General features: G+C 40.8%; 1 protein-coding gene across 24 annotated transcripts in view; it reads right to left on the bottom strand.

Moving 5' to 3' along the window:
* Positions 1–25,124, bottom strand: part of KDM6A (lysine demethylase 6A) — a 239,592-nt gene that overhangs the window by 194,871 nt on the left and 19,597 nt on the right. The gene's annotated exons all lie outside the window — the stretch shown is intronic.

The raw sequence follows: 25,124 nt of genomic DNA, 5'->3' as shown, positions 1-25,124 counted from the left end.
ATTGCAAGAATGCGATACTTTTGCTTAACTAGACATTATTAACTAAACTAAAAGCTTTAAAACTCAGATTAAAAATAAAACCCCAATAACAGCCTTAAAACTCAGATTAAAAATAAAACTTAACAAACCTTGGTTTAAGTTCCAGCTCCACCATCTGGTAACTGTGAGATCTTAGTAAAGCCACTTAAAACACTCTGAACCTTTGTTTCCTCATATGTAAAATAAGAATACTATACTATTTCTTCTGCCTATCTCATATAAGGAAGCGCAGGAGGAATAAAACCTACCCACATTGCCAGTATGTTTTCTATTCCTTCTGGACAGAAAAGGTCAACTCATATAAACAGCTCACATCAGAAAAAGACCAAAATGTAACAATCTTGTCATCATTTTTAAATGAAAAAGAATTTAACCTACGTTTGAACATTTACTACACAGATATAACACATCTGTTATTACAACAAACTGAGGAAATAAAGGGATAAAAGATTCATGCTCTCTCAAGGTATGTGTGTGTTGAGGGGTGGGGACACTTAAAGAGACAATTCTACTGTGCTATCACAAATATGATCAAGAAAATATGGCTGGGCTCCGTGGCTCACCCTTGTAATCCCAGCACTTTGGGAGGCCAAGGCAGGCAGATCACTTGAGGTCAAGAGTTCGAGACCAGCCTGGCAAACATGGTGAAACCCTATCTCTACTAAAAATACAAATATTAGCCGGGGATGGTGGCACGTGCCTGTTAATTCCAGCTACTAGGGAGGCTGAGGCAGGAGAATCGCTTGAACCTGGGAGGTGGAGGTTGCAGTGAGCCAAGATCGGGCCACAGCACTCTAGCCTGGCAACAGAGCGCAACTCTACTTAAATTAAAAAAAAAAAAAAAGTGAGTATATAGACAGACCGTGTCATCACAGAAATAGCAATCATGCAGGAAAGACAAAATTTTAAAATGGTAAGATGGGCTGGGCACCATAGCTCATGAGCCTGTAATCCCAACACTTTGGGGAGGCTGAGGCAGGAGGATCGCTTGTGCCCAAGAGTTCAAGATCAGCCTGGGCAACACAGTGGGACCCTGTCCCTACAAAAAATTTTAAAATTAGTCAGGTGTTGTAGTGTGCACCTGTAGTCTCAGCTACTAGGAAGGCTGAGGTGGGAGGATTGCTTGAGCCTAGGAGGTCGAGCCTGCAGTGAGCCATGATCACGCCACTGCACTCCAGCCTAGGTGACAGTGAGACCCGGTCTCTAAATAAAAAAAATAATTTTTTAAAAAATAGAAAAATGCATGACACTACAGAGAAAATATGGTATACTACTAAAGTATATAGCAGTGAGGGATGGGCAGTCTAAGGAAACACACATTAGCAAGAAAAAAGTTGCATTTTTCTTTAACTTTCTCATTCTTTCCTCTTTTAAACAGTAAAGGCAGCCAAAGCATAGGGGGAAAATTTAATTCAAAAAGTTCAGTGTTGATAAGTAAATTGCTACAGATCCTTCTTTCCTTCCTTCCTTTCTTTCTTCCCTCAAACATTACTATGAAATCTATCCTTTTGACAGAATATAGTCATAAGGGCACAAGTATTCCTCCCCACAGAAGACTACTTACTATTTCTAGCCTGCTTGGTCAACAATGAACATTAAGTATATGTTTATGAAAGATGCCCCAGTCCTTTATGGGAAAAAGGGCATCAAAAAATACAGTAGTCCCCCTTATTCACAGAGGAAATGTTCCAAGACCCCAGTGAATGCCTAAAGCCTTAGATAGTACAGAACCCTATATATATTATGTTTTTTCCTATACATACATGCCTATAACATTTAACTTATAAACTAGGCACAATAGATTAACAATAACTAATAAAATAGAACGATTATAACAATAAATTACGATAAAAGTTATGTCAATGTGGTCTTTCTCTCTAAATATTGTATTGCACTGTACTCACCGTTCTTCTTGTGATGAACTTCAGTATATGATTTTTTTCTTTCCTTATTAAGTACTTTCTCCTGTTCATTAAAAGGAAGCACTTCATGGCTTATCTTTGTCATATCCAAATTGACAGCATCACTTCTCTTGTGTTTTGGGGTCATTATCAAGTCAAATAAGGGTTACTTGAACACAAGCACTTTGATACCACCACGGTCAATCTGATAACTCAGACGGCTACTAAGTGGACTAACAGTGGGCAGTGTAAACAGTGTAGATAAGCTGGACAAAGGGATAATTCACCTCCTAGGCAGGACAGTGCGAGATTTCATCATGCTACTCGGAAAAGGGTGCAATCTAAAACTTAGGAGTTTCTGGAACTTTCCATTTAATATTTTCTGACTGCAGTTAACCACAGGTCAACTGAAACCACACAAAGTGAAACCGTGGATAAGAGCGTACACTACTCTATTACAAAGCAGATTAGCTATACCGCTCTTCTACGATAAAAGGTTTTTTCATGACAGCAGATATTTCTTATCTCCAACAGGGAGAATACAGATCCAAGGCCAGCCACTGGTGTACAATACCAGAGGGTGATGAACACAAGCAATAAATTGGGCTAGGTCTCAGAAAAGGAGAAATGTCACTTTTTCCAGCATTGGAACAGAGGGATGTCATTTTTAGCTACAATACCTACATTTTCCAAAACTAAAGTTTGTGCCCTTTCTGTTCTTGTTCATTTAAAAAGAAGTAGCAACATAAACTTATGACCAGCAACATTAAAAAAGGTTAAAATAAATAGCCATTTTTCTACATATTCACCGTATTATCACCGCTCACAGAATTTTCATACTAAGCAGATGACTAATGGCAAGAAAAAAACCTTGGAGCTAGGGTCAATGCTTAGGAAACATCCACAATGTACAACTGACTAAAGCAGTTGTCTAGATTCTAGAAAAGCCTAGCCAGCTCCAAATGTTTCTATCAACACAGAATGTAAATGTAGCAGGACAGACTCATAACTAGGTTTACCACTATGGGTCAAAAATTAACCCAAGAAAATAGTGTAAGACAGTGGCTGTATGACTTTTTGGCCACAGAATGCTCTCACTTCAGACATACTCTCACAAGAGTATCCAGTATTATGCTCAGTTCCAAGCTAGCTTTGCTAATGCCACCCACTTTGTCCAACCACTCAAGAAAGTATACTAGATGTAAATAAGAAGGGTGGTATTACAGAGAAAACTTTGAATTACATCTGGTTCTTTTCCAAAAGTAAATAACTTACAAAAACTGGTACTTTGATGAGTAGTTTAGCCTATCCACAGTCTCACAGCTGGTAAGTGGCAAAGTCTAGGGATAGGGTCAGGGAACATATGAAAAAGAAACATCCCAAAGAATACCTAGAATCCACAACCTAATAGTAACATCTTTCTTATGATTCACTCCTGACACAGTGCTCTTCCTGGAATCATTTCCTTCATTTCCTTTATCTACCTAAAAAACTTATCTGAGACATAAAAAACTTCTGCATTAACATATATGAGACATCATTCTAACATATCCTATTCTTGTTCACCAAGTAGATTATCAGAATTGTTAATTATTAACAACATTTACTCACTGCTAAGTACGGTGCACTTTACATGCCTTAGCTCATTTAATTCACAGAAACCTATGAGGTAAGTACAAATGACCCTTAAATAACGAGGCAGATAGGCGTGCTGACCCCCCCAGCACAGCTGAAAATTCACATGTAACTTTTGACTCCCCCAAAACATAACTAGTGTTGGGAATAAAGTTTTTGGTGTCACAAAAAAAGAATTAATGCGGGAACAAATGATCTCTCAGAAAGGCGAGCTTTACTTTCTGCAGAAAGGGTGCTACTAAATAAGCTGTCCAGCCAGGAGAGCACACCAAACAAAGGAGACAGGGTTATTTATAACCTGACACATCGATCCTACTGCTGTGTCCAGTTTCCATTGGCTGAAATAGGATCTCACATTTTACACTTTACCCAATTGGCTACTGGTTTAAAACTTTTTTAATTGGGTAAGGGGAACAGAAGAAAGAAAGAAAAGGAAGTTGTCCAGGGATAGTTAAGGACGCATCTTCAAATAAGGAATGGCATGCACTATGGGCTGGGACTTGTCTAGTTCTGCCCAGGCATGCTGGAGCAAGCTAGGACAGCTGATATGGAATATATGTGTGTGTGCGTATACATATATATATATATACGCACACACACAAATAGTGGATAGCAATCTTATAGTAAGAAATTGTGACTTTTTATAGTCTTTGAAGAACTTTCCCATTTCTCACACTACTAATAGCCTACTGTTGACCAGAAGTCTTACCAATAATATAAACAGTTAACACAGCCGGGCATGGTGGCTCATGTCTGTAATCCCAGCACTTTGGGAGGCCAAGACGGGCAGATCACCTGAGGTCAGGAGTTCGAGACCAGCCTGGCCAACATGGTGAAACCCAGTCTCTACAAAAAAAAATACAAAAAATTAGCCAGACGTGGTGGCGAGTGCCTGTAATCTCATTTACTCGGGAGGCTGAGACAGGAGAATCGCTCGAACCCAGGAGGCGGAGGTCGCAGTGAGCCAAGATCACACCACTGCACTCCAGCCTGGGCAACAAACAGCAAAACTCCGTCTCAAAAAAAAAAAAAAAACAGTTAACACATATTTGGTATATGTATTATATACTGTATTCTTACAATAAGCTAGAGAAAAGAAAATATTATTAAGAAAATCATAAGCAACATAAAATACATTTTCTATTCTTAAGTGGAAGTGGATCACCATAAAGGTCTTCATCATCGTCATCTCCATTTTGAAGAGGAGGAGGAGCAGAAAGAGAAGTTACTCTTCCTGTTTACAGGGGTAGCATGTGTGGAAGAAAATCCGTATGTAAGTGGGCCCACGCAGTTCAAACCCTTGTTATCCAAAGATCAACTGTACTATTATCCTTATTTTACAGATGAGGAAAGTAAGGCCTAGAGCATTAAAAGGCTTACTTAAAAGCAATGAGGGCAGATAACATTGCAAACTTTGAGTATAACACATGGTATATTTATTCTTAGCACAATCATGTATTAATTCACCTCCAGGTAGATGGTAAAAATGTTACAATATAATAATCAATATGCAGGAGTGCAGAGAGAGTGTGTGACAATCAGAAGTAGACGAAGCTATTAGGAAAGACAACTGCTCTGAAATTTTAGTACCTATTTTAAAAGGAAAATAAGCTGATTCTCTCTCAGGTTCACTGAGGGCCTTTGGACCTAATATAAATATTCTTCTCAACAGTCCTTTCCACAAATGTCTTGCTCAACCCTCTCTGTTCAGTAGGTCATTAATTTAGATTCCAATGATATGCAATTCATGATAATCCAAATGAACAGAGATTACCTTGGCACTCTGAAGCACTGTTTTTCCCAAGTAGTGTTTTATGGAAAAAGGATTTCCAACTATAAAACATACGTGTGTTGTGTAGTGGATCATGATGTAAAATGCATTTCTTCCCACTGTCATGATTGGAAAAGAAAATTCTAATAAACACTGTTTAAAAGTTTATGAAAAGGCCAGGAACAGTGGCTCATGCCTGTAGTTCCAGCACTTTGGGAGGCCGAGGTGGGCAGATCACCTGAGGTCGAGAGTTCGAGACCAGCCTGACCAACATGGAGAAACCCGTCTCTACTAAAAATACAAAAAAACTGACTGGGCATGGTGGCATGGCCTGTAGTCCCAGCTACTCGGGAGGCTGAGGCAGCAGAATCACTTCAACCTGGGAGGCGAAGGTTGCAGTGAGCCAAGATCTCGCCATTGCACTCCAGCCTGGGCAACGAGAGCAAGGCTTCGTCTCAAAAAACAAACAAACAAAAAAAAAGTTTATAACCTCTCCCTCTCCCTCCCCCTCTCCCCCTCTCCCCCTCTCTCCCTCTCCCTCCTTTCCACGATCTCCCTCTGATGCTGAGCCAAAGCTGGACTGTATTGCCACCATCTCTACTCACTGCAACCTCCCTGCCTGATTCTCCTGCCTCAACCTGCCAAGCGCCTGCGATTGCAGGCGCGCGCCGCCACGCCTGACTGGTTTTCATATTTTTTTGGTAGAGACGGGGTTTCGCTGTGTTGGCCGGGCTGGTCTCCAGCTCCTAACCCGGAGTGACCTGCCAGCCTCGGCCTCCCGAGGTGCCGGTATTGCAGACGGAGTCTCGTTCACTCAGTGCTCAATGTTGCCCAGGCTGGAGTGCAGTGGCGTGATCTCGGCTCGCTACAACCTCCACCTCCCAGCCGCCTGCCTTGGCCTCCCAAAGTGCCGAGATTGCAGCCTCTGCCCAGCCGCCACCCCATCTGGGAAGTGAGGAGCGTCTCTCCCTGGCCGCCCATCGTCTGGGATGTGAAGAGCCCCTCTGCCCGGCTGCCCAGTCTGGGAAGTCAGGAGCGCCTCTTCCCGGCCGCCATCCCGTCCAGGAAGTGAGGAGCGTCTCTGCCTGGCCGCCCATCGTCTGAGATGTGGGGAGCGTCTCTGCCCTGCCGCCCCGTCTGGGATGTGAGGAGCGCCTCTGCCCGGCCGCGACCCTGTCTGGGAGGTGAGGAGCGTCTCTGCCCGGCCACCCCGTCTGAGAAGTGAGGAGTCCCTCCGCCCGGCAGCCGCCCCGTCTGAGAAGTGAGGAGCCCCTCCGCCCAGCAGCCACCCCATCTGAGAAGTGAGGAGCCCCTCCGCCCGGCAGCCGCCCCGTCCGGGAAGTGAGGAGTGTCTCCGCCCGGCAGCCACCCCGTCCGGGAGGTGGGGGGCAGCCCCCGCCCGGCCAGCCGCCCCGTCCGGGAGGGAGGTGGGGGCCAGCCCCCGCCCGGCCAGCCGCCCCGTCCGGGAGGTGGGGGCGCCTCTGCCCAGCTGCCCCTTCTGGGAAGTGAGGAGCCCCTCTGCCCGGCCGCCACCCCGTCTGGGAGGTGTACCCAACAGCTCATTGAGAACGGGCCATGATGACGATGGCGGTTTTGTCGAATAGAAAAGGGGTAAATGTGGGGAAAGGATGGAAAAATCAGATTGTTGCTGTGTCTGTGTACAAAGAAGTAGACATAGGAGACTCCATTTTGTTCTGTACTAAGAAAAATTCTTCTGCCTTGGGATGCTGTTGATCTATGACCTTACCCCCAACCCGGTGCTCTCTGAAACATGTGCTGTGTCCACTCAGGGTTAAATGGATTAAGGTCGGTGCAAGATGTGCTTTGTTAAACAGATGCTTGAAGGCAGCATGCTCGTTAAGAGTCATCACCACTCCCTAATCTCAAATACCCAGGGACACAAACACTGTGGAAGGCCCCAGGGTCCTCTGCCTAGGAAAACCAGAGACCTTTGCTCACTTGTTTATCTGCTGACCTTCCCTCCACTACTGTCCTATGACCCTGCCAAATCCCCCTCTGCGAGAAACACCCAAGAATGAACAATTAAAAAAAAAAAAAATGAAGCTACTTGCAAAAATAAATAAGCTAAAGAAAAAAAAAAGTTTATTAAAAAAATGAGGCCAAATCGGGCAGATCATTTGAGGTCAGGAGTTCCAGACCAGCCTGGCCAACATGACAAAACTCCGCCTCTACTAAAAATACAAAAAAATTAGCCGGGCATGGTGTCATACGGCTGTGAGTCCCAGCTACTCGGAGGCTGAGGCAGGAGAATTGCTTGAACCCGGGAGGCGCAGGTTGCAGTGAACCAAGATCACGCCACTGCACTCCAGCCTGGGTAACAGGAGCGAGACTTCGTCTCAAAAAAAGTTTATGAAAAAAATAAGAGTAACCTTCATTCCTATATTAGAGAATGAGACATTCTAATTAGGAAGACAAAGATGACTGAAAGCTTCCATTATAGCTACTTCAAGCCATCACAAATATGACCTCCTGAAGATTTCCTCGTCTTCTTAAACAGAGTATAGAAAACACAACTGAACCATTTCTTCAGTTAAATTAAGTGTAATTTAACGAAATAATCATTAAGAAAAAAAGGTTATTATACTGTGTTATTTTAATAAAAACAAGACCATTAAGAATTGATCCTAAACAGCCACAAAGTGCTATGCTTTTATCTCCTTTATTCTTTTCACACAGTCACCTAATTTTTTTCACTACTACACTACTTGACATCAGTATACTAGCATGCAACAACTTCTCTCCTAATCCACATGTTCTAATCTTCTACGGGAAAGGAAACCAAATAAGCAGCCATCTTTATTAGACTAGCATCTGAAATAAAAATAAACTCAGTAACTGGACTGTGAGATACATTTTGACTTAAAGACCTTTCCTTTTTGTCCTACTTCTTATTTCACAGTACATTACAGAAATGTATAGATGACTAATACTCTACGGTATTAGTATTTTGAAATGTATAGTTATCTATAGGTGACTATACATTTCAAAACAGAGAATGGTAAATAAAGGTCCTCCATATAGTATAGAAGACATGATCAAAATATAATCATTTGGGTGGGGGGGTGAAGGGTGGCAGCAAAGTCAAAGATAAGCTATTAAATGAAAGTTATTAAAGTGCCCACCATGCAAGTAAACAATACAAATAAGAGTGAAGATCCAGAGACCTTTAACCACTATAGGAGACATCAACAGCAAAAGGGATAAATTCATGTATTTGAACGCCGGAATACTATTCAGCAATAAAAACAAATGATGTTTCTGTTTTTGCAAACTCAAGGATGAATAAGAAGGATGAATCTCAAATGTGTTGTTGAGCAAATGCAGCCAAACACAAGGGTACCTATTATACGGTTCCATTATATAAAATTCTAAAATAAACAAAATTAATCTATGATGATAGAAGTCGGTGTAATGGTTACCCTTGAGGAGGAAGATAAAGGTATTAACTATGAAGGGGCAAGAGATGCTTCAAATTGCTACTACTGTTCCACTTCCTGATTTGAGGTAGCATTTACCAAATGTGTTTACTATGTGATAATTCACTGAATGGCACACTTGTGATATGTGAACTCAAATGGGTTCATGTTACACTTCAACAAGTTTCCTTAAAAACAAAAATCATCACGCAAAGGACTTCTGGTTAAACATGACAATTTGAAAATGGAGTTATCTCTGTTCCCTTCCAACATCTCTGAAAAGAAAGTGAAGGAATTAAAAGACAGCAACCCTAGAAGTACAGCCAATACTTCCTAAAAATGGCCACAATATCCCCCATGTCACATCCTTATCTGCAGTGTGGCCTTGCCTCTTCCACATCAAGAGATGGGGTTTCTGTCCCCTCTCCTAAAATCTGGGTAGGCTTTGACCAACAGGTTAGGGCAAAAATGACACTGTGTGACTTCTGACGACAGGTCACTTAAAAGGACATGCAGCTTTCTACTTGGTCCTCTTACACACTCACTCTTGGATCCCTGAGCTTCTATATAACTACCTTAAACGAGCCACGCTGGGAAGGCCATATACAGGCCCTTGGGTTGACAACACAGCTGAGCCCACCCTTCTACACATCCTTGCCAAGGTGCCACACATGTGATGAAGCCATCCTTCAGTCTCTCTCTGCCATGAGTCATCACAACTGAGGCCCCAAACACGTACAGCAAAAAGAAGATATCCCTGCTGTACCCTTTCCAAATTCCTGACCCACAAATCCTGTGAACATCATAAAATGGTGGCATTGGTGGTGGTTTGTTATGCAACAAGATAACCAGACCAGAAAGGGAGAGAAGACAACAACAGACAAAGCAGGTCCATAAATTATGAAACACAAAAAGTACATGAAATGCCAAGTGTCTTAGATTTCAGCTACCAAGACAAAAGCCCTTTCAAGCAGCAGAATCCTGGAAAGAAATGATGGCAGGAACTGAAGACTAATGAAAAAAACTGAATAAGAACTAATTAGTCCTCTAGACCTACTCCTCCAGAAAACACTACCAGGGAACTGTCCCTCCTCTATTACTTTTTCCCCTACCCCAATAAAAAATTAAACATTTAACTCAACAGAGATGTTAAATTAAAACAGACACACTGAGCACAGGTCAGGGTGCAGAATGGCCCAAGTCCACTTCCACAGTTTGGCTATCAAAACACTAGCTGCCAGGCTTATGCTTCTTGCAGCCCCAGGATGAGTGAAAGTCCCAGAATGCCAGCTGTCCAACAGGCCCAGTGACCTATACAACAACAGTCACCTTTGAAGGATACAGGTAATTTAAAAAAAAAAAAAAAAAAAAAAATGGAGGCCAGAAGCAGTGGCTCACACCTGTAATCCCAGCACTTTGGGAGGCCAAGACGGGTGGATCACTTGAGGTCAGGAGTTCGAGACCAGCCTGATCAACATGGTGAAACCCCATCTCTACTAAAAAAAATACATGCTACTCTAGAAGCTGAGACAGGAGAATCACTTGAGAACACGGGAAGTGAAGGTTGCAGTGAGCCAGGATCGCGCCACTGCACTCCAGCCTGGGCGACAGAACAAGACGCTGTCTCAGAAAAAAAAAAAAAAAGAAAAAAAAAACCACACACACACACACACACACACAATTAGCCGGGCGTGGTGGCACACGCCTGTAATCCCAGCTACTTGAGAGGCTGAGGCAGGGGAACTACTTGAACCCGGGAGGCAGAGGTTGCAGTCAGCCGAGATGGCACCACTGCACTCCAGCCTGGGCAATAAGAGCGAAGCTCCATCTCAACAACAACAACAAAAAAAGGAACTGATAAATTACCTGATGTGTCTGACCATATTGGGGCTTACATACATATGAGAGAAAACACAGAAAATTAAAACAGTAACAAAAAGCCAACTAATGCCTCAAAAAAAGTACACGGAAAGGAAAAGTAACCATAGTGAACAGCACTTATTTATGTAGTTTTAATAATCTAAATGTTGACTTAACACAAAGATACAACACTATGGACAAGAAGGGAAATGCAGGGGCAAATGGAGAAGAGAGTGGGGGGGAAAGGTTACCTTCCATAGTAGGAAAATGTCTAAAATAGAAAAATGAAGAAATGTCAGCACTGGCAATGTGAAATGTGATGATAAATAAGAGAAGAAAGCGCTAAAGAATGGGAAGTGGAAAGAGAAGTTAAAAAGTAAAACTAGAACTGTACACTTTATGCAAATTATGTATCAATAATGCTGCTCCTAACAAGAAAAGATGGGCCCAGCACCACAGTGGCTCACGCCGATAATCCCAACACTGGGAGGCCGAGGTGGGCTCACTTGAGGACAGGAGTTGAAGACCAGCCTGAGCAACATGGCGAAACCCCATCTCTCTCTCTCTCGCTCTCTCTCTCTATATACACACACATACACACACATACACATACAGTCTCTCTCTCTACATATATATATACACACACAATATTTAAAAATAAAATTAAAAAAGAAAAGATGAATGAATTTTTTTTTTTATTCTGGAAGCACAAAGAGGAATTGGTTCTACCTCTAAACGATTAAGGGAAAGCTTCATAAAAAGAGAAAGGAAGCCATTTAAGGGTCTTGAAATAAAAATAAGAAGAAAAGATGGAGGGCCATACACGGTATCTCACACCTGTAATCTCAGCAATTTGGGAGGCTGAGGTGGGAGCATCACTTGAGCTCAGGAGTTCAAGACCACCTTGGGCAACACACTGAGACCTCATTTTTACTAAACATTTAAAAAAAATTAGCCAGGCGTGGTACATGCCTGTAGTCTCAGCTACTCAGGAGGCTGAGGCAGGAAGATAGCTTAATCCGGGGAGAGTGTGGCTGCAGTCAGCCATGACCGCACCACTGCACTCCAGCCTGAGCTACAGAGAAAGACTGTGTCCAAAAAGAAAAAGAAAAGATGGAGGAGAAGTATTGAGGATGGGGTTTAAAAGTTATATGGAGGCCCAAATGTTGAGGGACATCAAATTTTACTTTTCTTTGAGAAGATTTTTGAGTAAAAATCTATCACTGAGAGGAGTACAAAGAATGATTGTCTGTAGAGACCAAACCCAAGAAGCATTAGCTACTGTACTACCTGAGCAAAGTAAAAGAGAATGGAAAAAAAATTATAGCCACATATACAGGCACAAGTGTGCATATATATATTTGCCTTTAATTTTTAAAACAAAAAGTCATAAACTTGTTTTTAAATGGTTGAGGAGGGAATATGATGGTAGATTTGGTTCTGGAACAATGTAAATATTTCACAATCATATATGTATTTTAAATGTTACACTATAAATAAAGCAATCTTTATGAAGTTAAAAAAGCAATCTTTATAAAGCCAAAAGCAAAATGAAACAAACAAACCTTACTATGTAGCCAGCTGATAACGTAACCAGACATAGAACAATTATTTCAAAGAACTTTAAAACAGCAATTTAACCAAATACTCCCAGTGGAAAATACCTTAGGGACAAAAATAAAAGAACTACAAAAAAATCCTCAAGCTACAATTCGAAACCACGTACAGTCATGCATCCCTTAAGACCAGGATATATCCTGATAAATGCAACATTAGGCAATTTCATCCCTCTGCAAACACAATAGAGTATACTTACACAAACCTAGATGGTATATCCTACTACACACCTAGGCTACAAATCTGGCACAGCATGTTACTGTACTGAATACAACAGACCAATGTAACACAGTGGTAAATATTTGTGTCTAAACATATCTAAACATAGAAAAGGTACAGTAAAAATATGGTATTATAATCTTACGGAACCAACCTTACCATCATTGACCAAAATATTGTTACATGGCAGATGACTGTAGCTCATGGTAGTGCTGGTACTGTTATTCCAACACTGTTAATGTATGTAGTATGTGATAAAGAAACTGAGTCATTATGTTGTCTTTGAGAACCAAAATTTTCAACATAGAAGAAAAGACATATTTAAAATTGATAACAAAACATTGTAGTCCTGAATTTGAACTGAAAGATCTGTGTGAAATCATAATTTTAAAACCTTCAGAAAGAAATGAAGCGTGACATCAGCAAAAATGGTGGCTTAAGAACCTCTAACAATTCCTCTCCCATGAGAAAACGAGCAAATAGTTTCAGAATTAACTTTATAATAACTCTGGAAACGAATCAAAGGCTTGCAGGAATCTTGGAAGCGTTTAGTGAAGAAAAATGGCCAAATCTTAGTAAAAACAGAAAGCTTTGTGGCTTTTTAATTTGCCCTAGTCCCATTTTCTCCATACAGCTCTGCAGTAGACTTGAAAACAAACAGCATAATAGATTTCTGGTAAAATCCAGCAGCCTGAAAAGCCAGCAGAGGGAGTACAATGAGGCTGAAGCTCCATCAAAGCCTCATTCCCAGAAAATTCACCTGTATAAATGTTCCCTGGAAGATCCCTCTTGCAAAGCTAGGTATTTCACATAAATAGAGTTCACCAGTGTGAAATCCCTTTACTTGAAGGCCATTTGTTGAAAAGAATTCCAGGGAATTGTTTAGCTTAGAGGCTGGCTAAAGCAGTGGATAACAACAGAGACAAACAAAAGACCAACCAAAAACTTCAGAAGGAAAAGCAGGAGACTGAGATGTCTGTAAGAGTTTTAAAAGCTCCAACAAAAATATGAAAAACCTAATAATCAAGAAAGCCAAGCACAGATAAGGGGCTGTGTGCACGCCCAGAAAAATCTGAGAAGTCCCCAGGTGCTCACCTCCGCTTTACCATGAGGCTCTGCACAATCAAAATAATGGCTATGGCAATGTTGTCAACTGACTGCACAGAACACCCTTCAGCAAAGACTGGGAGACTTAGTGGTCCCAGACAGTTGAGGAAGTCACTCACTAAAATAAACAAGGAGAGAATTCAGTGGTAATACATAACAAAGAACACAGACTTTTAAAAATTAATTCAGAGAAGTCACTAAACAAAGAAACAACTACAAGAAACAAAAGCCAATACTGCAAAGGGGGAACCTTCTGCTTTCAGTTTCTACATTACAATAAAACGTCCAGTTTTCAACCAAAAATTGTGAGACATAAAACGATCCAGCCATAGAACAAAAAGCAATCAACAGAAACCATCCCAGGGAAAGCCCAGATGAGCTTACTAGACAAAACTTTAAAAGTCAGCTATTATAAACATGACCTCAAGTAAACAAAAATATGAAAAACATCTTTTACATAAAGTAAAATATGTCTCAAGAACTAAAGTATAAGGTCAATATATCAAAGAATAAAGAATATCAACAAAGAGAAATTATATTTTAATAGGACAAAATAGAAAATATAACTGAAATAAAGAATTCACTAAAGAGGCTCGACAGCCTCAAATATTCTAGTGAATATTTGAACAGGCAGGAAGTATCCAGGAACTTGAAGAGAGGTAACTGGGATTATCTAGTCCAGTAACAGAAAGAAAATAAGAAAGAAAAATTAACAGAGTCTCAGAAACCTGAGCAACACCATGAAGTTTACCAAAACATGCAAAATTGAAGTCACAGAAGAAGGAGAGGGGAAAAACATTTAAAGAAATAATGGCTGAAAGTTTTCCAAATGTAATAAAAAAAATTAATCTCACGTCCAAAAAGCTCAATGAATTCCAAACAGATTAAACTCACAGTTCTACACTGAGACACATTATAGTCAAACTGTCAAAAGACAATGACAGAATCTTGAAAACACGAAAGAAGTGACTCATCACATACAAGCGATCCTCATCAAACACTGTGGAGGCCAGAAGGCAATGGGATGACGTGGTAAAAGTGTTGAAAGGAAAAAACAGTCAACCAAGAATTCTAGATTCAGCAAAACTATCCTTAATTACAAAGGGGAAATTAAGACATTACTATATAAACAAAAACTGAATTTGTCACTAGGAAAATACAAAAGGCAGTCATCCAGGTTGAAAGGGTGCTAGACAATAACTAAAATTCACAAGAAAAAACAAGAGTACCAGTAAAAGTAATTCTCAGGTGCAATGATCTTAATGTGTCCCTACAAGATTAATATATTGAAACTTAATCGCCAATGTGATAGCATTAAGAGGTAAGGCCTTTATGAGGTGATTAACTTATGAAAGCAAAGCCCTCATGAATGGGATTAATAACCTAAAAGAGGTCTGAGAAAGCTATTCATCCCTTTGCCCTACTGCTTTTTGTCACATAAAGATGCAGCAATCTTGGAGACAGAAAGCTAGCCTTCACTAGATGCTAAATCTGGGAGTGCCTTGATCTTGGACTTCCCAATCCCCAGAACTGTGAGAAATAAAGTTCTATTATTTATAAATTATCCAGTCTGTAGTATTCTGTCATAGCAGAACAAATTGATACACCAGGTAAATATAAAAGATAATGTAAATAGGCCGGGCACTGTGGCTCACGCCTATAATCCCAGCACTTTGGGAGGCCGACAGGTGGATCACCTGAGGTCAGGAGTTCAAGACCAGCCTGGCCAACATGGTGAAATCCCATCTGCATTAAAAATACAAAAATTAACCAGGTGTGGTGGCATACGCCTGTAATCCCAGCTACTCCGGAGGCTGAGGCAGGAGAATCGCTTGAACCCAGGAGGCGGAGGTTGCAGTGAGCTGAGATCATGCCACTGCACTCCAGCCTGGGCGACAGAGCAAGACTTCATCTCAAAAAAAAAAAGGTAGAAATGGAAGAATACAGAACAAAAACAACAGATGATGATATGATGAAAACAAACAGTAAAATGGCAGATGTAAATCCTACTTTATCAATCATCACATAAAATGCAAATAAACACTTACAATTAAAAGACAAAGATCGACAGAATGAAATCATTTTTGTTTTTTTGAGATGGAGTCTCACTCCACTGCCCAGGCTGGAGTGCAGTGGCACAATTTTGGCCACTGCAACCTCCGCCTCCCAGGTTCAAGTGATTCTCCTGCCTCAGCCTCCCAAGTAGTAGCTGGGACTACAGGCGTGCGCCACCATACCCAACTAATTTTTGTATTTTTAGCAGAGAAGGGGTATTGCCATGTTGGCCAGGCTGGTCTCAAACTCCTGACCTCAGGTGATCCGCCTGCCTCGGCCTCCCAAAGTGCTGGGATTACAGGCATGAGCCACCACACCCAGTCTGAATTTTTTTAAAGGCATAACACAACTATATGCTTTCTAAAAAGGACATACTTTAGATTCAAGGACAAAAATAGGTTGAAACTAAAAGGATGTAAAACATATGTACCATGCAAACAATAACCAAAATAGAGCTGGGTGGCTATACTAATATCATACAAAATGAACTTTGAATATACACATACTATGTAGTCACAAAAATTATTAATTTTTAAAATACACTTTGAGACAAAAATTGTTACTAGGGACACAGAATATTCTATAATGATGAAAGGATCAATTTATCAAGAATATATAACAGGTAAAAACAAACAACTCAAAATACAAGCAAAAGCTGAATTGAGGAAAAACAGACAATTCAACATTAGTTGGAGGCTTCAATACTTAACTTTCAATAATCAGACAGCAGATCACAAGAAAATAGAAGACTCCAAGAGCTCTACAAAACAAGACTTAATAGCCACCTATAGAATACTCCCTGCAACAACAGCAGAATACACATTCTACTCAAGTGTATATGGAACACTATCCGTGACAAACCACGTTAGGCCACTAAAACAAGTCCCCGTATATATATATATATATTTTTTTGAGATGGAGTCTCACTCTGTCACCTCGGCTCACTGCAACCTCTGCCTCTCAGGTTCAAGCAATTCTCCTGCCTCAGCCTCCCGAGCAGCTGAGATTACAGGTGCCTGCCACTACGCCTGGCTAATTTTTGTATTTTAGTAGAAATGGGGTTTCACCATGTTGGCCAAGCTGGTCTCAAACTCCTGACCCTCAAGTGATCTGCCCGCCATGGCCTCCCAAAGTGCTGGGATAACAGGCGTGAGCCACTGCACCTGGCCGTCCTCATAATTTTAAAAGAATTAAAATTTTAAAAGCTATGCTCTCTGACCAAAATGTAGTGAAATTAGAAATCAGTAACAGGAACAAATTGGAGAAATTCACAAATATATGAAAAACTTTAAACACTCCAAAATAACTAATGGATCAAAGAAAAATGCAGAATATTATTATTAAACATATTACACAGAAAATAAACAAACCATTTCTTTCTTTTTTTGAGACGAAGTCTAGCTCTGTCACCCAGGCTGGAGTGCAGTGACACGATCTCCACCTCCCAGGTTCCGGTGATTCTCCTGCCTCAGCCGCCCGAGTAGCTGGGATTACCGGCTCCTGCCACCACGCCCAGCTAATTTTTGTATTTTTAGTAGAGATGGGGTTTCACTGTGTTGGCCAGGCTGGTCTCAAACTCCTGACCTCATGATCCGCCCGCCTCGGATTCCCAAAGTGCTGCAATTACAAGCGTGAGCCACCACGCCCGGCCAAATCATTTCTTAAATAACAAAACGGCTAAACTTATTTTAAGAGAAACTCCCTATTATTGAAGGGCCTAACAATCTTTTCTCCAGGAAGATTTTTCTCAGAAAAAAAGTCTATAAATTGTACAGGAACAAGTTTAAAAGAACAGAAAAAAGGATAAAATCATAGAATTTTTAGAGCTAGAATGAATTAAAATTGTAGAACTTTACTACATGTACATTGCTGAAATAATAATTATTCCCTGCCTAAGGAAGACTAATGCCTCCTACCTATTAAGTTTTCCCTTGCTTATTCATTTGAAATTCATACAGAAACATATCTGTACGTACCGCCTCTCCTTCCTACTCCTAAAAACTTCTGAATCACTTTGCCTATTTTAAGCATTTTAAGAATTTTGGGGAAAAAATTTTGTTTGGCTGGCCTTAATATGTTGAAAGGAGCAGAATGTTATGTTATACTGGTATATTTGGCATAGGAAACTAAAGAGTAACTGCTGTTTGATGGCAAACCATAACAGTGACATTCTGCTATAATCCAGTTTATCTTTCAGTTTCTTTCTTTGCATGTAAATATCTACTTCCTTTAAAGAATATGACAGAAAGCATTTGATATTCAAAAGTAAGCCTTCTAGTTATTTAAACCATATCCCCGAAATAACAGTTATGGGTCACGCCCTAATAGAAACAGCTTTAAAATGAGGATATGTTGTGATTTTGTCACAAGATTCTCCTAAATTTGACTTATTTTGTTCACGACATAATATCTTTAGACAAAACTTTCATAATTCAAAATTGAATTACTATAAGCCTTCCAGTTCCACCAAAATGGAGTACCATAGCTTCATTCTTCCCAGGTCCTCCCTCTTAACAACTAAAAAACCCTGAACATAATACAACAAACAAGCATAGAAAGTATCTGAAAAGTGGAAAGAAAGCAGCAGATTTCCTAAAGACTTCATAATTTGAGGAGTAATAAGGCAATGAGATCCCTGGGTTTTCGTATTGCCACCCATATTTCCAAGACAGGATGCTGCTTCAGAAGACCCCAATACAGTATCACCAACTGTCACAGAGAAAAAAAAAATTCCAAGAAAAGCCTGTTCCTCCTAGTCAAAAGGCTGGGAAAAGGGTAAGCTTAACAAAGGAAACCCTTCTGGCAAAACCCATCCTACTCCAGCTAAGTACCAAAAGAAAACATATACACACACACCCTCCTCCAGTTTCAGTGGAGCCGGGCATATAGCTAATCTAACACATACACCCCCCACCACAAAGCAGAAGCAGGTAAAAGAGTAAGCTTACCAAAAGAAACCTTTCTGGCAAAACCCATCTTACTTGAGCTAAATACCAATGGAAAACACACACACACACACACACACACACACACACACACACACGCATACACACACACCCTCCCTTCCTCCCCCTCCCTCCACAGTTTCAGTGGAGCCAAGCATACAACTAATCTAAACACACACACACCCCACCACAAAGCAGAAGCAGATAAAAGGGTAAGCTTACCAAAGAAACCTTTCTGGCAAAACCCATCTTACTCAAGCTAAATACCAATGGAAAACAAACAAACACACACACACACACACACACACACACACACACCCTCCCTCTCCCTCCCTCCGCAGTTTCAGTGGAGCCAAGCATACAGCTAATCTAACACCCCCCCACCACCACCACCAAGCAGAAGAAGCAGGTGGTGCTTTGCACCAGGTGGTACTGGAAGGGCAGAGTGGATAAGTGCTCCTACACCCTCCACCCAGCAAAAGCAGGCTGTGGGACTGGAGCCCCTACCAGGGTTGTGTTGGCAAGACAAAACAGGGAATTGATCTTCCATCCCCCACACAGGGGTGCTCCAGTTCCCCTGTTGGGTTAGTGGCAAGCCTAAAAGAGGAGCTGATCTTCCATACTCCACCCAGTAAGAGCAAGCGGTGTTCAGACTCACCCATTTAAGATAGTGTCAGTGGGGTCTAGGGGCAAGCTAGGCTTCCACCACCACCCATTAGCAAGGAGGCTTAATAAAGCTGCGTGAAGCAGTTAGTCACCACTACCTTTCACCACCACTCCACTCCCACCTCCCTCCTGCACACACAGGCCTGGTGTCAACAGGACCCAGCAAGAACCTGAACCTGCACCCCTACCCAGCCATCAACAAGACTGAACAAGGAGATGTGAGTTAGAGTCAGTCAGCTTTCTACTCCCTGCCCCAACCCCTGGTATCAGTGGTAACCAGTGAAGAGCTGAACCTCCACATTCACCCAGTATCAAGGCTAAATGAAGCAGTGTAAGACAGAGTAGCTGACAACCATTTCAGCCATTCTCAAATGCCAGTGGTACCCAGAGGGGGCTGAGCTTCCATTCCCCACCTGGCATCAACTCAGGGGAAGTGGTATGAGGTAAGGAGCTTTTTCTTCACCCTGCAGCATCAGTGCAGTGTGAGATAGCCTCCCTACTTCTCTCTTGCTGAGGCAGCATGGCCCGTCAGAAAGTTCATCTTATACCCCTACTCAGAGGCAACAAGGTGGCATAAAATGGTGCCCAACTTTTGTTAGGAAGATGTGAGGGTAAGGGAGGAATTGAACTTCCATCCCACCAGTCTGCATTAAGGCCATATGACTTAGTGCCCCACTTTTTCCACAGTAATTATCAGCAGGACCCAGCAAGAAGCTGAATGAACACACCCACCTAACCCTTGCACTACACTTCAACAAGGGAACTGCCTAGTATAAAAAAGAATAGGCCAGGTGCTGTGGTGCACACCTGTGACTCCTGCTACTCAAGAGGCTGAAGCAGCGGATTACTTAAGTCCTAGAGTTCAAGACCAACCTGGGCAACAGAGCAAGACCCTATCTCAAAAAAAACAAAAAAACAAAATTAGCCAGGCATGGTGGCACACACCTGTTGTCCTAGTTACTCAGCAGGCCAAGGTAGGAGAATCACTTGAGCCCAGGAGTTTGAGGTTACAGCAAGCTATGATCACATCACTGCACTCCAGTCTGGATGACTGATCACGACCCTGTCTCTTAAAAGAAAAAAGGAACAAGATGCACAGTTCTCAAAATATGTATGATATCCAAAATGTCCAGAGTACAAATGAAAATCTCATGCCATACCAGAAACCAGGAAAGTATATTATGAATGAGGAGAAACAATCAACAGACACAATACTGAGGTAAATCAGATTTTTTAATTACCTGACAAAAATAAAGATTTTAAAGCAGTCAACAAAACGCTTCAACAAGCAATTGCAACTGCTCTTAAAACAAATAAACAGAAATCTCAGCAAATGTTATTTTAGAAGAACCAAATGGAAATTATAAAACCAAAAAAAAAAAAAAAACCTAAAATAAAAACTCTTTGAATGAGCTCAATAAAAGAGTGGAAATGATAGACGACAGAGTCAGTGAACCAATCAGTAGAATTATGTCAATCTAAACAAGAGAGAAAACAGACTAAAAAAAAAAAAAAAAAGAACAAAGCCTCAGGGACCTATGGACAAAAATCGAAAAAGCTAAGACTCTTCTCAGAGTCCCAGAAGATGAGAGAGAATAGGACTGAAAAAGTATTCAAAGATATAATGGCTGAAAACTTCCCAAATTTGGTGAAATACGCTAAAGATACAAAAAGGTGAGTAAACCCCAAATAAAAAAGACACCCACACCAATACATCACAATTAAACTTCTGAAAACTAAAGACAAAAAAATCTTGAAAACAGCCAGAGAGAAATGATACATTACTTTATAGGGGAACACCAATTCAAATGACAGCAAATTTCTCATCTAAACCAGACAGGAAAAAAAAAAATAGCACAACACTTGTCAAGTACTTAAAGAAAATAACTGTCCACTGTGAATTCTATACACAGCAAAATATTCTTCAGAAATGAAGGCAAATAAGACAGTCTCAGAAAAACTAAGAATTTCTTGCTAGCAAACCTACCCTGAAAGAACAGCTAAAGAAGCTGTCTGAAAAAAAAAAAAAAAAAGGAAATGATAATGGAAGAATGCTGAAACTTCAGGGAAAAAAAAAAGAACTTTGGAATAGGTAAAATAGAGGTAAATATAACAGACTATCATACTACGCATGAGTTTCTTTTTATCTTTTTTTAGTTCTGCTTACTAAGGAAGAGTTCTTAAATCATATTTGCTGGTTGAAGCAAAATTTATCACACCATCTGATGTGTTGTTCAATGTATGTAGAGAATGTAAGTACACTTAAGAAAATTTATTTTTGGCCGGGCGCGGTGACTCACGCCTGTAATCCCAGCACTTTGGGAGGCCGAGGCGGGCGGATCACGAGGTCAGGAGATCGTGACCATCCTGGTTAACACAGTGAAACCCCGTCTCTACTAAAAAAAATACAAAAAAATTAGCTGGGCGTGGTGGCAGGTGCCAGTAGTCCCAGCTACTCGGGAGGCTGAAGCAGGAGAATGGCATGAACCCAGGAGGCGGAGCTTGCAGTGAGCGGAAATCCAGCCACTGCACTCTAGCCTGGGTGACTGAGCCAGACTCTGTCTCAAAAAAAAAAAAAAAATTTATTTTTAAAGTAAAGAGGGCAAAAGGACCTAAGTGGAAGAAAAGTTTCTGTGCTTAACTGAAAGTGGTAAAACACCAATACCAGTAGACAGTGGTAAGTTACATATGAATACTGCAATATCCAGAGCAACCACTAAGAAATCTATACAAAGAAATATATTCAAAAACATTAAAAATCAAGATGGAATCCTAAAATATATTAAGATAACCCATAAGAAGGTAAAAAAAAAAAGCAGATGAATGAGAAACACACAAAAAATGCAAGTAATAATAGAAAGAAAACAGAAAACCCTCCAAATACTTAGAAACTTAACACACTACTAAATACTCCATGGATCAAAGAAATTTTAAAATGCACAGAACTGAATCAAAATGAAAATACAAATACAAAAGTATGTGAGACACAGCTAAAGTAGTGCTGAAATGTAAATTTATAGCACCAAATTGTTACATCAGAGAAAAGGAAATGATTCAAATTAATAATCCAACTTCCAAGCTCAAGAACCTAGAAAATATAAAGAGCAAATAAACCCAAAGCAAGCAGAAAGAAGGAAATAGAGAAGAAATCAATAAAATTGAAGCCAGGAGAACAGCAGAATAAAAAAAAAAAAAAAAAGCAATCAATAAAAAGTTGGTTCTTAAAAAAATAAAAGTTGGCCCAGAGCGGTGGCTCATGGTCTGTAATCCCAGCACTTTGGGAGGCCGAGGCGGGCAGATCACGAGGTCAGGAGATTGAGATGAGACCATCCCGGCTAACGCGGTGAAACCCCATCTCTACTAAAAATGCAAAAATAAAAAAAATTAGCCAGGCGTGGTGGCAGGCACCTGTAGTCCCAGCTACTTGGGAGGTTGAGGCAGGAGAATGGCGCAAACCCAGGAGGCGGAGTTTGCAATGAGCCGAGATCGTGCCACTGCACTCCAGCCTGGGCGACAGAGCGAGACTCTGTCTCTAAAATAAATAAATAAATAAATAAATAAATAAATAAATAAATAAATAAAATAAAAGTTGCTGGGCGTGGTGGCTCACACCTGTAATCCCAGCACTTCGGGAAGCCAAGGTGGGTGGATCACCAGAGGTCAGGAGTTCGAGACCAGCTTGGCCAACATGGTGAAACCCCGTCTAAACTAAAAATACAAAAACTAGCCAGGCATGATGGCGGGTGCCTGTAATCCCAGCTACTCGGGGGCTGAGGCGGGAGAATCACTTGAACCCGGGAGCCGGAGGTTGCAGTGAGCCGAGATCGCGCCACTGCACTCCAGCCTGAGCCCCGTCTCAACTAAAAATACAAAAACTAGCCGGGCATGAAGACGGGTGCCTGTAATCCCAGCTACTCGGGGGCTGAGGCAGGAGAATCACTTGAACCCAGGAGCCGGAGGTTGCAGTGAGCCGAGATCACGCCACTGCACTCCAGCCTGGGGGACAAAACAAGACTGTCTCAAAAAAAAAAAAAATTAATTAATTAATTAATTAAGTTGACAAACCTAAGACTCACAGACATGAAAACACAAATCATCGTGTCAGGAATGAAAACAAAGAGAACACTACAGATTTTGCTAACATTAAAAGAATAACATGGGAATAATACTATGAACAATTCTGAGTTCATAAATTCAACTTAAAAGAAACAGATCAACTCCTCAAAACTACAAACTACCAAAACTCAGTCAAAAAGACAATCTGAAGAGTCCTATAACTACTACCAAAATTGATTTTCTAATCAAAAGCTCCAAAAAGATAAAGCTCAAATGGTTTTACCAAACAATTCTAATGAACATTTAAAGATGAATTTAAACCTATTTTACACATTCTCATCCAGAAATAGAAGGGAACTCATTTTATGGAGGCTGGTATTATCCTGACACCAAAACCAGATACTGTACAAAAAATGTTACCTACAAACCAGTATCTCTCATGATACTTAGAGGCAGAAATCCTCAACAAAATACTAGCATACTCATACTCTATTATTACATATGAGATACACTCATCCATATTCTTGTCATGATCTTATACACAAAAATTCTCAACAAAATATTAGCAAATGTAATCCAACAATGTACACAAAGAAGTATATGCCATGACCAATTGGGTTTTACTCTAGGTATGCAAAGCTGGTTTAGCATTCAGAAATCAATGTTATATTAACAGGCTGAAGCAAAAAAATCATATAATCACATCAGTTGATCCAGAAAAAAGCATTTAACAAAACCCAACCTCTATTCAAGATTAAAAATCTCAGCATCTTAGGAAGGAGTGGGGTGGAGATGGACTTCCTCAACTGAATAAATAGCATCTACAAAAAAATCTACAACTTTAGGACAAAATATTGAATGCTTTCCCAGGAGACCATACTGGCTAATGCAGTGAAACCCCGTCTCTACTAAAAATACAAAAAATTAGCCAGGCATGGTGGCGGGCACCTGTAGTCCCAGCTACTCAGGAGGCTGAGGCAGGAGAATGGCGTGAACCCAGGAGGCGGAGGTTGTGGTGAGCCCAGATTGCACCACTGCACTCCAGCCTGGGCAACAGAGCAAGACTTCATATCAAAAAAAAAAAAAAAAAACCTCCCACAACAAATGAATTCACTAAGGTTGCAGGATACAAAAATCAACACACAAAAATTTACATACTAACAATAAAGACCTGGAAATTTACATTTAAAATGCATCATCATTTGCAATTGCTCAAAAGAAAATGAGATTCATAGGTATAAACTTAACAAATGTTCATGGAACAAATCAAAGAAGACCTAAGTAAACAAAGAGACAACTCATGTTCATGAATTGGAAAGCTCAGTATAGCAAAAAATATATATGTATCAATTATGCCCAGGTTGATTTGATGCAATTCCTATCAAAATCCCAGCAAGGTTTTTTTTGTTTTTGTTTTTGATTTTTGAGACAGTCTCGCTCTGTCGCCCAGGCTGAAGGAGTGTAGTGGTGCGATCTCGGCTCTCTGCAACCTCTGCTTCCCAGGTTCAACCAATTCTCCTGCCTCAGCCTACCAAGTAGCTGGGACTTACAGGCGTGTACCACAACATCTGGCTATTTTTTTTTTTTTTTTTTTTTTTTAGATGGAGTCTCACTCTGTCACCCAGGCTGGAGTGCTGTGGCACGATCTCAGCTCACTGCAACCTCTGCCTCCCAGATCCAAGCGATTCTCCTGCCTCAGCCTCCCAAGTAGCTGCGACTACAGGTGTGTGCCACCACGCCTGGCTAACTTTTGTATTTTTAGTAGAGACGGGGTTTCACCATATTGTCCAGGCTGCTCTCAAACTCCTGACCTCAG

The sequence above is a fragment of the Homo sapiens genome, chromosome X, assembly GCF_000001405.40.
Source record: "Homo sapiens chromosome X, GRCh38.p14 Primary Assembly".
NCBI lineage: Eukaryota > Metazoa > Chordata > Mammalia > Primates > Hominidae > Homo > Homo sapiens.
This window is presented reverse-complemented; position numbering and strand designations above follow the sequence as displayed.